The sequence below is a fragment of the Homo sapiens genome, chromosome 5 (genome assembly GCF_000001405.40).
Source record: "Homo sapiens chromosome 5, GRCh38.p14 Primary Assembly".
NCBI classification, from domain to species: domain Eukaryota; kingdom Metazoa; phylum Chordata; class Mammalia; order Primates; family Hominidae; genus Homo; species Homo sapiens.
In genome coordinates, this window is record NC_000005.10 from 67,683,138 (window position 1) to 67,695,522 (window position 12,385).

Consider the following 12,385-nt stretch of genomic DNA (forward strand, 5'->3'; position numbering starts at 1 on the left):
TTGTGGTTCCATATAATTTTTCTCAGCTCACTGCAACCTCCACCTCCTGGATTTAAACGATTCTCCTGCCTCAGCTTCCTGAGTAGCTGGGATTACAGGAGCCTGCCACCATGCTCAGCTAATTTTTTTTTTTTTTTTAAATTGGAGGCAGGGTTTTACCATGTTGGCCAGGCTGGTCTTGAACTCCTGACCTCAGGTGATCCTCTTTTCTTGGCCTTCCAAAGTGTTGGGATTACAGGCATGAACCACTGTGCCCAGTCAGTTCCATATACATTTTAGGGTTTGTTTTTTTTTTTTGTCTATTTCTGTGAATAATGTCATTGGTATTGTCTTAGCGCGGCCAGATGCCCCTTTCAGGTTTGTTTTCTCTAAAATAAACCTGTGTTGACCGTCAAACCACTTTTTTTGTTTCTTTCCTCTTTCTTTAATTCTTACAATAAGGGGTTGCATTGAATTTGTAGATTGCTTTGGGTAGTATGGACATTTTAACAATATTGATCCTTCCAATTCCTGAACATAGAATATCTTTCTGTTTTTTTGTGTGTGTCCTCTTGAATTTCTTTCATCAATGTTTCATATTTTTTTTCATTGTAGAGATCTTTCATTTCTTTGGTTAAGTTACTTCTTAGGAATTTTATTTTATTTGTAGCTATTGTAAATGAGATTACTTTCATGGTTTTGTTTTTCAGATTGTTTGCTATTGGCATACAGAAATGCTACCTATTTTTACATGTTGATTTTGTATCCTGCAAATTTACTAAATTTGTTTATCAATTCTAATAATTTTTTGGTGGAATCTTCAAACAGGGACAATTTGACTTCTTCCTTTTTTGAGGGTTTTTATCATGAAGGAATCTTGAATTTTTTCAAGTGCTTTTCAGCATCAACTGAAATGATCATGTGGGTTCTGTTCTTTATTCTGTTGATATGCTGTATCATGCTGATTGATTTGCATATGTTGAACCATCTTTGCATCCCTGGGATAAATCCCAGTTGGTCATGATAAATGAGCTTTTTAACATGTTGTTGAATTTGGTTTGCTAGTATTTTGTTGAGGTACTTTATAACAAATGCTTAGCAGGGGTACTGGCCAGTAGTTTTTGTTTGGTTTTGTATCAGGGTAATACTGGCCTCATAGAATGCATCTGGAAGTATTCCCTCATCCTCTATTTTTTGGAATAGTTTGGGTGGGATTGGTATTAGTCTTTAAATGTTTGGCAGAATTCAGCAGTGAAGCCATCAGGTCTTAGGCCTTTCTTTGTGGGGAGACTTTTTATTATGGCTTCAATCCTTTTACCTGTTATTGGTCTGTTCAGGTTTTGGATTTCTTCATGGTTCAATCTTGGTAGGTTGTACATGTCTAGGAATTTATCCATTTCTTCCAGGTTTTCCAATTTATTGGTATATAGCTGCTCATAGTAGCCTTAATGTCCTTTGTGTTTCTGCAGTATTGATTGTAATGTCTGCTTTTTCATCTCTAATTTTGTTTACTTGGGTTTTCTCACTTTTTTTCTTAGATAGTCTGGCTAAAGTTTTGTTAATTTTATTTCTCTTTTCAAAAATTCACCTTTTCATTTTGTTGATCTTTTGTATTGTCTTCATTTCATTTTTATTTATTTCTGCTGTGCTCTTTATTGTTTCTTTTTTTCTACTAATTTTGGGTTTGGTTTGCTCTGGCTTTTCTAGGTCTTTAAGATGCATCATTAGATTGTTTATTTGAAATATTTCTACTTGTTTGATGTAGGCATTTATAACTATAAACTTTTCTCTTAGTACTGCTTTTTCTGTATCCCATAGGTTGTTGTATTTACACTATCATTTGTTTCAAGACATTTTCCAATTTCCCTCTTAACTTCTTCATTGACCCACTTGTCATTCAGGAGCATATTGTTTAATTTCTATGTGTTTGTATACTTTCCAAAATTCCTCTTGTTGTTGATTTCTAGTTTCATTTCATTGTGATCAGAGAAGATACTTGATATAAGTTCAATTTTCTGAATTCTTTAAGATTTATTTTGTGGCCAAACGTATGGTCTTCACTTGAGGATCATCCATATTCTGAGGAGAAGAATGTATATTCTGCAGTCACTGGATAAAATGTTCTGCAAATATCTATTAGGTCCATTTGATCTACAATGCAGCTTAATTCTAAAGTTTCTTCATTGATTTTCTGTCTGCATGATCTGTCCAGTGGTGAAAGTGGGGTGTTGCTGTCTCTGGCTATTATTGTGTTGGGGTCTATCTCTCTCTTTAGTTCTAATAATATTTGCTTTATATAGCTAGGTGCTCCAGTGTTTTGTGCATATATATTTTCAATTGTTATATTTTCTTGCTGAACTGACCCCTTAACACTATATAATGATCTTTGTCTCTTTTCATAGTTTTTGTCTTCAAATCTGTTTTGTCTGATATAAGTAGGGCCACCTCTGCTCTTTTTTTGGTTTTCATTTGCATAAATGTCTATCTCTTTATTTTCAGTCTATGTTTGTCTTTTTAGGTGAGGTGTGTTTCTTGTAGGCAACCGATCATTGATTCTTGTGTTTTTATTCCTCAGCCACTCTGTGTCTTTTGATTGAAGAGTTTAGTCCATTTACATTCAATGTTATTACTGATAAGTAAGGACATACTCCTGCCATTTTAAAAAATTTGTTTTCTGGGTTTTTATTTTTTTGTGGTCTTCTCTTCTTTCCTTCCTTCCTGTCTTCCTTTTAGTGAAGGTGATTTTTCTCTGATGATATGTTTAATTACTTGCTTTTTAATTTTTTGTTTGTATCTGTTGCATGTTTTTGATTTGAGGTTACCATGAGGCTTGCAAATAATATCTTATAACCCATTATTTTAAACTGATTACTTACCATCGATTGTTTACACAAACAAACAAATAAGCCAAGCGAAAACTAATAAACTCCACACTTTAACTTAATCACCCCATTTTTTAACTTTTTGTTGTTTCTATTTATATTTTATTTTGCAATCTATGTCTTGAAAAATTGTTCAATTTGGTGTTCCTGTGGGGAGGATAATCAGTGGAAGCTTCTATTCAGCCATCTTGCTTCACTTCCTCCATGAGTCAATATTTTAAAACACAAAAGCCTCTGTGCAGGCCTAAGAGAAGGCATTGGCACAATAGCCCCTTACTTCCTTCAAGGATCTGCTTGGATGTCATTTCCTTAGGAAAACCTTCCCCAGACTAGACACGGACCCTCTGTTGTATGCTCTTCTAGCACCATATACTTTCCGTCAAAACATTTATTAGAATTTTATCTAATCTGTGTGACTATTTGTTTAATGACACTACCCACAAAATCAGGGCTTTTGCCTGCTCAGGTCACTTCTGTGGCCTCAGTTCCTCATTCAGTATCTGGCACATAATAGGTATATAATGAATATTTGTAGGATGCATCAATGAGACCATCAGGAGGAATATCAAGTAGTACAAGTTTAGTAGTGCATTGTAAAAACAGTATTTTCAGAAATTATTTCATGGCTTATTCATTTATCTGGCAAACACATATTGAGTACCTACCAGATTCTAAGACCTTCATTGTATATTGAAGATAGAAAACAGATTATGTGATAGTCATTACCCTCATGAAGTTTACAATCTAATTATACCATTAAAAATTAGCATTTAAATATTATTAAATAAGATAATCATAGTGCTTTTTTAAACGGTAAAACATAGTTTTTAAGTAATTTTTAAAACATGGCATCTCATTCATTCTGATTCTGGTTATCATCTTCACACATATTTTCATTATGATTTCATTTTCCATTGACATAATCTGATGGAAACTTGGAGAAAATAAAAGCAATATAATTTAAACCATGTTTGTGCAGAAACTGCCAAATAAAAAGAAAATAAAGAATTGGTTTGGAATTATGAAGACATCAATGCATTTGCATTAAGTGTAACAGGAGCTAAATCACTTCTACCTATTAGTAAATTCACCTGGGAAGGAGCCAATAAGCATGTTGTCCAATTATGAGATGCAGTTGGCTTCTGGAATATGAAAAAGGTAAACATAAAAATGAAAAATGTAACTTTATGACTGCCAAGAATGTTCTGAACATTATTCTTTGTGCACCCTAAGGGTGTTAGAAGCAAGAAAAGATGAGAAAAAAAGCCTGGTCTCTGATGGTTTTTCCTTGACCTTAAGACAAGAGTATGATGATAGAAATAGGTTTGGGTTTTAATTGCAAGTCATTTTCTATGTAATTTTACACAAGTTAATTAATTAACTTGAGACAGTTTCCTCCTTTGCAAAATGGAAATGATAATTCTTAACTTATAGTGAATATTAGAGATCCTGTATGTTAAATATGCAGCATATTGCGTAGACCATGGTGCTATATAAGTGATGCTACTAATTATCATTCTATAATATCCATAAGGGTAACATAATTTCGGCTGATTTGAATGGTAACTAAATAGATTCAGAAAGGGAATTATTACAAAAATTTTATTTTTGTACAGGTTTTCTACAAATCCCTTCAATAATCTAAACAATCATATAATGTGAATATATGGTTTGGGAAGGCAGTTTGAGAATATCTATCAGAAAGTATGTTTAAAAACCACATATAAAGCCTAAAAAACCTAAAAATATTGAAACTATACAAAGTATGCTGCCCAACCACAATAGAATACAATTAGAAATTAAAAATCAGAGATGAATTTTAAAATTTCATAAATATGTGGAAATTGAACAACATACTCCTAAATAACCAATCAGTCAATGAAAAAAATCACAAGCATTAATAGGAAATACATTGAGTAAATTAAAGTGAAGATACAATACACCAAAACTTATGGGATGTGGTTAAAAAGTAGTTACGGGGAAACTTATACCTGTAAACACTTATATTGAAAAAGAACTATATCAAATCAATTACCTAATTATCTACCTTAAGACACTGAAGAAAGAAGAACAAATACACCTAAAACAAATAGAAGGAATTAAATAATAATGATTAGAGTGGAAATTAATGAAATTACAAATATACAAGCAATAGAGGAAATCAACAAAATATGTTCTTTAAAAATCAACAAAATTGACAAAGCTTTAGCTAGATTGACCAAGAAAAACAGAAGAATACTCACATTGCTAAAATCAGAAATGAAAGAGGTGACCTTATTACCAATTTGCAGAAATAAAAAAGATTATGAGAGAATACTATGAGCAACTGTATGTTGGTAAATTCAATAATGTAAATGAAATGAACAAATTCCTAAAAAAAAACCAACTACCCAAATTGACTTGAGAAGAAATAGATGATCTGAATAGATCTGAATAGATAAAAATAGAGATTAAATTAGTAATTAAAAAAAACTGCCAACAAAGGAAATCTAGGCTCAGATAGCTTCATTAGTGAACTCTACCAAATATTTAAGGAATAATTATTAGTGATTATTCATAAACTTTGTCAAAAAATAGAAGAGAATACTTCCTAAATCATCCTATGAGCCAGTATTACACTGATACCAAAATCAAAGATATTACAAAAAAAGAAATCCACAGACCAATATATTTTATAAATACAGGCACAAAAATCCTGAAAAAGAAATACTAGCAAACTGAATTCAGCAACATATAAAAACTCCTACCATGGCCAAGTGGGATTTATCATAGGAATACAAGGTTGGTTTGTTATCTGATAATTAGTTAGTTTAATGCACCATATCAATAGAATAAAAGGCAAAAAAAAAAAAAACACATGATCATCTCAATAGAGGCAGAGAAACATTTGATAGAATCCAACATCACTTCATGATAAAAAATTCAATAAATTAGGAATAGAAGGACACTTCCTCATTCTGCTAAAGGTCATTTACGAAAGAAAATATATAGCTAATATTATGCTTATTTGCAGATGATACAACCTTGTATACAGAAAATCCTGAAGAATACACACACAAAAACTAGTGCTAAAAAGCAAGTTTTGGAAGGATGCAGGCTAGATCAATATATGAAATCAATTGTATTTATATGTTTGCAATCCAAAAATAAAATTAAAAACCAATTTTATTTACAATAGTATCAAATGGAATAAAATATGTAGGAATACACTTAACAAAAGAAATGCAATACTTGTGCAACTGAAAACGTCAAATCATTGTTGAAATAAATTTAAAAATATCTAAGTAAATGAAAAGACATGCCATGACCATGAATTGGAAGAGAATGCTATTAAGATGGCAATACTCTCTACATTGTTGTACAGATTAAATGCAACCCCTCCCAAAACCCCAGCTCACTTTTTTGCAGAATTTGACTAGCTGATTTTAAAATTAATATGAAAATGGAAGAGACCCAAAACGGCCAACATGATCTTGGAAAAGAACAAAGTTGGAGGATTCACACTTCTTTATTTCAAAACTTACTACAAAGCAAATATAAGCAAGACAGTGTCATACCAGCATAAGAATACATGTAAAGGTCAATGGAATAGAACAGCGAATCCAGAAATAAATTCTCGCATTTGTGGACAATTGACTTCAGACCAGCATGCCAAGATCATTGAACATAGAATGTAAAATCGGCAAAGAATCTGACTAGACATTTCTGCAAAGAATATATAAAAATGGCCCACAAATACATTAAAAGATACTCAACATCATTATTCTTCAGGATAATGAAAATCAAACTCCAATGCGATGCTACTTGACACACATTAGAATGGCTACAATCAAAACGACAGATAATACCAAGTGCTGGTAAAAATATGGAGAAATTGCAACCTTCATACACTGCTGGTGGGATTTTAAAGTGGTGTAGCCATTTTAGAAAACAGTCTGCCAGTCCTTAAAATGTTTTTTAAATATTAAAAACATTTAACTTACTATACATATTTAAATTTTGGAAAGTTATTAGGCAGATGCACTTTGCTTTATCAGTTTAGTTTGATCTTCAGTTACCATTTTATGAGATCTTTCCAATAGCTTATCCCATATCGTAAAACGTGCTCTTAAGTGAATGGGTAAAGACAGACCCTGGAATCTTCATATAAGACTTGGCTGGTTAGGTTGAAGATTGTGAACTGCTGACACTTCATACTGGAAGCAAATACTTGTTCTTGGAATCAGAGGGCCCTCACTCACATCAATGAAATTACCTATTCTGTGTAGCTTGACTATTCTCTCAGGGTTCTGAGATGCCTTCTTTTCTGTGAAATCTGTTTTGTACTTGTGTTGTAATATTTCCAATGCCACTTTTGCTTCAGCATCCAGAGTTTGAAATGAAAGATCTTTATAAATTAAAGCATGAACGTCCTTTGTGAAGGAACGTAGGTTCTCTTTTGCTCAATGTAGAGAGTTACCATTTGACACAAGAATTCCACTCCTAGGTATACACCCAAGAGAATGAAAAATATAAGTTTACATAAAAATTTGTGCATTAATATTCATAGCAGCGTTATTCATAAGTGCTCAGAGATGTAAGCAACCCAAATATCCATCAACCAATAAATGGATAAATAAAATGTATATTCGTACAAATGAATATTATTATGCAGTTAAAAGAAACGAAGTGCTGATGCATGCCACAATGTGAATAAACCTTAGAAACATTATGCTAAGTGAAAAAAGGCAGACACAAAACCAAAAATTTTCTGATTCCATTTATATGGAATATCCATAAGAAGTAAAGCTATAGAGACAGAAGTAGATTAGGGGTTTCCCCGAAAGGGAGGAGAAGATTGAGGAGTGATGGCTTAGATGGTTTGTGTGTTTTGGGGGGGTAATAAAAATGTTCTAAAATTTATTGATTGCACAATTCCGAATATACTAAAATCATTACATTTTATACTTTGGGTAAATTTTATGGTATGTGGATCATACCTCTGTATATCACCATTACAAAAAAGTAAATAACAAACCTCACATATATCCATCTACTCAAAATTCTGGATGTCTATCTTAGAGAAACATTTACATATTTTCACCGTAAGTTTCATACAAAGAGATTCACTTTTTGTGATTTAAAAAATAAAAACAACCCTTCAATAGGGAGTGTGAATAATGTGTGGCAAATCTGTACCATGAAATACTCCACTTTTATTATAGAATATAAGAGACCTTTCTCTATAACTCAGATAAATCTTCCACAATGTTGAGAGCAAGTTGTCAAAAAAACGTGTAAAGTATGATCCCATTTATGAAAAAAACTACGTCTTCATATACATGCATATATAAATGAAAAAATGACTGATGAATGTATATCAAACTATTAACAGTAGTTTGTTCTGAAGTAAGAACGTTGGTAGGTTGATAAGAAGTATAGCAAGAGAAGTTGGATGGGGTAACCACACTTCACTCTATAAATTTCTGTATTGTTTGCATCTTTTTTTTTTTTTTGAGATGGAGTCTCACTCTGTTGCCCAGGCTGGAGTGCACGGTTGTGGTCTCGGTTCACTGCAAGCTCCGCCTCCTGGGATCACGCCATTCTCCTGCCTCAGCCTTTCGAGTAGCTGGAACTACAGGCGCCAGCCACCACGCCCGGCTAATTTTTTGTATTTTTAGTAGAGATGGGGTTTCCCTGTGTTAGCCAGGATGGTCTCGATCTCCTGACCTCGTGATCCACCCGACTCGGCCTCCCAAAGTTCTGGGATTATAGGCGTGAGCCACCGCGCCAGGCCTATTGTTTGCATCTTTTCAACAAGAAAGTATTTATGTGTTACCAGTACAAAATAAAAACAAAAAGAAAACAAAATACGATGAATGTTAACACATGGACCAAGTTCCAAGGCAGTTCATACCATCAAATTGTGGTAATGAACTTGTGAGCTAAATGAACAATAGTATTGGTGCAGGATTAATACGTTCTTCACTACCCTGTTAGAGCAGAATTTTATTTTACGGTAGAAGAGAGATGAGATGCTTTGACAAATGTTCTGTCTGGTACATGTTCAGGGCTTTGTATTTGTTATTTCTTCTGCCTGGAATGCTCTTCCTGCAAATATCCACATCCAACTCTGCCCCCTCCTTTAGATATTTACCCAAATATTTTCTTCTCAGCCAAGTCCTGCCTGCCCACCCTGCCAAACTTCAATGTTCATTCCCCTCTTACTCCTCATGACCCTTCCTGCTTAATTTTTCTCCATAACATTTTCAGCCATCTGACATTCTACTGAATCCACTTATTTACTTGTCTAATGTCCATCTCTTCTTAGTACAAGTGAAGTCTATGAAGGTAGAAACATTTGTCAAGTGTTTCAGAGCTGTAACCCTGGAGCTAGAGTGAAAGCTAGCACATAATATGTGCTCAATGAATCTTTGCTGAATGAATGAAAAAATAATTTAATAATAGCATTTGAATCAAGAGCTATTGACATAGGTAGGATAAGAAAAGGATTGTATCTCTGAATTCTCATCATCAAATCTCTTCCACCGAGCGAAGAATTTAAAACCTAGACACAGATGGCCTCAGGAAGATTTTCAGATTTTCTTTTATTGACCAAGACCTTTTGCCCCCATTCACCCACCATTCATCATCTAGATGCACAAAGAGGAGAAACATGAGGACAGAAATGCCATTTTCCTTTCTCTCTTCTTCTTGTCAAGCTGAACTAATCACAGAATCACAAAGAAATCTGAAATTTTTGTATTTAAAATTAGCCATCTGAGTGTTCTTTCGATGATCCCAATTTTGTTGGCAACATCCAAAGCATCATAGTCAAGCCTTTTTTTGTTCATCAGGCCTGATCAGTGTGTTGATCTTGGCCATGTTAGTGTCATGAAGCTTCTTCACAGCCTTTGGAACTGGTGCATGTTGGTTTTGACATCTAAAATGAACACATATGTATTGTCTTCCCTATTCTTGTCTGATTCAAGTGGAACATGATGGCAGAGTGATCAAGCTTGCTTCTCCTGGTGGTACTTTTCTAAGGACATTTTGCTGCCTTAAAAGCTGCAGAGTCTTGGGCCACCAGAAGTGGAGTAGTGTGAGGATCTTTTGAGTATGGTTGTGGATACTTTTCTGCACTGCCTTTTTGGCCTTCAAAGACTTTGCTTTATCTTGACTTTGGGAGGAGCAGAGGTTTCCTTGTTAACTTTCAGGGACATCTTGGTGAGAAGTTACATTTTTAAATTTAGTTCTTCATCCACAACAGGACTATTAGGATTTATTATGCAGAACCAGTTTTAGAAGACCAAACACAGAGAAGAAAGAGGTAGTTAAAGCGAATTAACAGCAAAACCACCTAAAGGAAGAGTGCGCGTGGGTGAGATGTGAAGCATTTATTCATCAAGAGTTAGAAAAACTGATTTCTTCCTCCAAAGAGCAACAGCAATTTCATAACAACAGAAAAGAACATAGAGTCATAAAACTACAAAACACTACCATTTAGTCTTATATTTTTTCTTTGTCTTCTCAAATGCACTAATTTAGGTATTCCAAAATGGGTGAAAGATACATCTCTTTGTCACTGTTTAAAACTCCACAAAGAGACTCTGAAATCCAAACACTGCATGTTCTCACTCATAAGTGGAAGATGAACAGTGAGAACACATGGTCACAGGGAGGGGAACATCACACACTGGGTCCTGTCGGGGGTTGGGGGGCTAGGGGAGGGAGAGCATTAGGACAAATACCTAATCCAGGTGGGGCTTAAAACCTAGATGATGGGTTCATAGGTGCAGCAAACCACCAGGGCATATGTATACCTATGTAACAAACCTGTACGTTCTGCCCGTGTATCTCAGAGTTTAAATTAAAATAAATAAAAAATTTTCAAAAAATTTATAGTTTAGTGGCCTAAACTCTTTAAATCTGATTTAAGTCTCTCTTGTTTCAATTTAAATTCAATGCCTCTTCTATAGTTCTTGGAGTAAAGAGAGAGACTGCCCTTCTTGGGAAAACAGATTCCTCTGCCCAAGCAGATCTACAACTGGTTAGGGTATGGCTGCACATAGTGTGCTTTATACTGCAGTGCAAAACACTGCGTTCCGTAAACATTTCTAAGAACTATTATAAAGTATTAAGGCTGCTCTGCCAATCAGATTCTAAGTGAGCTGAACACTCCTTACCCTCTCATAACAGAGTACATGTTGCCTGCAGCTCTGGCTGTTAAAAGGACAGAGCAATGTTCCTAAACAGATTGGGTGGTGAGCAGAGGTCCCGTGATTCACCCCTAAATTAGTTTTAACTGACAGGTTTTGGAAGTGAGGCTGGCTAGGGTCTGGCTGCGTGGATACCACGTGCTGCTCTGTCCAGTCCGAATTGCTCAGAAGGAATCTTGAGCTGTGTGATTGGGTAGGGTGGGGGTGGGCAGCTCAAGAATGTGGGGTTAAAAATAGGAGCAATGATTTCCAAAGTCCTTGGCCAGCTGTGTGGAACCTAGTGTCTCATTCAGTACATGTTCCTTGAAGGCAAACTACCAGATCAAGTTTGGAGAGATTGTTGTTTGAGCTGGTTTGTCCTTTGGGTTTTGTACAACTTTGAAAAGAACAAACAAGAAATTGGTGTTTCTCTTTCATACTCAGTCTCATTCCATTCTCTATTTTATTGGATTCCACTGTGTCAGCTGAATAGAAGAAATATACAGCCCTTGTCTCATATTTCCATAAGCACATATTTTACTCATACTACAAAGTAGTAATTATTCTCATAAAATAATGATGTAATATTAATAAAGATGAAATTTTGTGATTGACACCAACAATGGCAAGATAAAGATTATTTATTATTGCTATTATTGAAGTGTTTCGTATTGTACTCTTTGTCCAAGGCTTCATAGATAATTAAAATTCATGGACTGCACAAGTGTCTCATGAAATGTGTTAGATTGTTTTCTGATATGCAAAAATGTCCTGACATGGTTTGTAAATGCGTACTGCACATCTCCAGCCAATTACCATACAAAATGCAACTATTTCTTTTTGTCTATCACTGAAGCCTGAACAGACAGCATTAGACTCAACTGCATAATTCTGGCCTAATTTTCGTGTCTGATACTGTAGTGATGTTGTGAGGCATTGACTTAACAACAGGAGTAAATGTTCTTTTTGAATACATATTTTTTTCTTCAGCCTCTTTGGAAATATGCCTACATGAAGAAGCACTCCTTCGGCCTCTTCAGAAAAATGAGCATGTGTTTACACCCCTTTTGCCCCCACCCTTTGTTTTCTCTTCCTAATTTGTGATGATTTTGATGGGATGAGGGTTTATGCTGGCAAAATTCCAAAGGGTGGACAAATTGGGCTGTACTTTCATTAATGCAAAACTGAAAATATTGCTAAATTATTGTGGCTAATATAATTTGTGTCTGCTCAGGCTTTGTATTAGTTTGCTAGGGCTAGTATAAGAACCACAAACTGGGTGGCTTAAACAACAGAGACTTATTGTGTCACAGTTCTGGAGACTGGAAACCCAAAATCAAGATGTCA

At 34.6% G+C, this 12,385-nt stretch overlaps 1 pseudogene; it reads right to left on the reverse strand.

Annotated features, from left to right (window-relative positions):
• Window positions 6,823-7,302, reverse strand: LOC359819 (mitochondrial ribosomal protein L39 pseudogene; annotated as a pseudogene).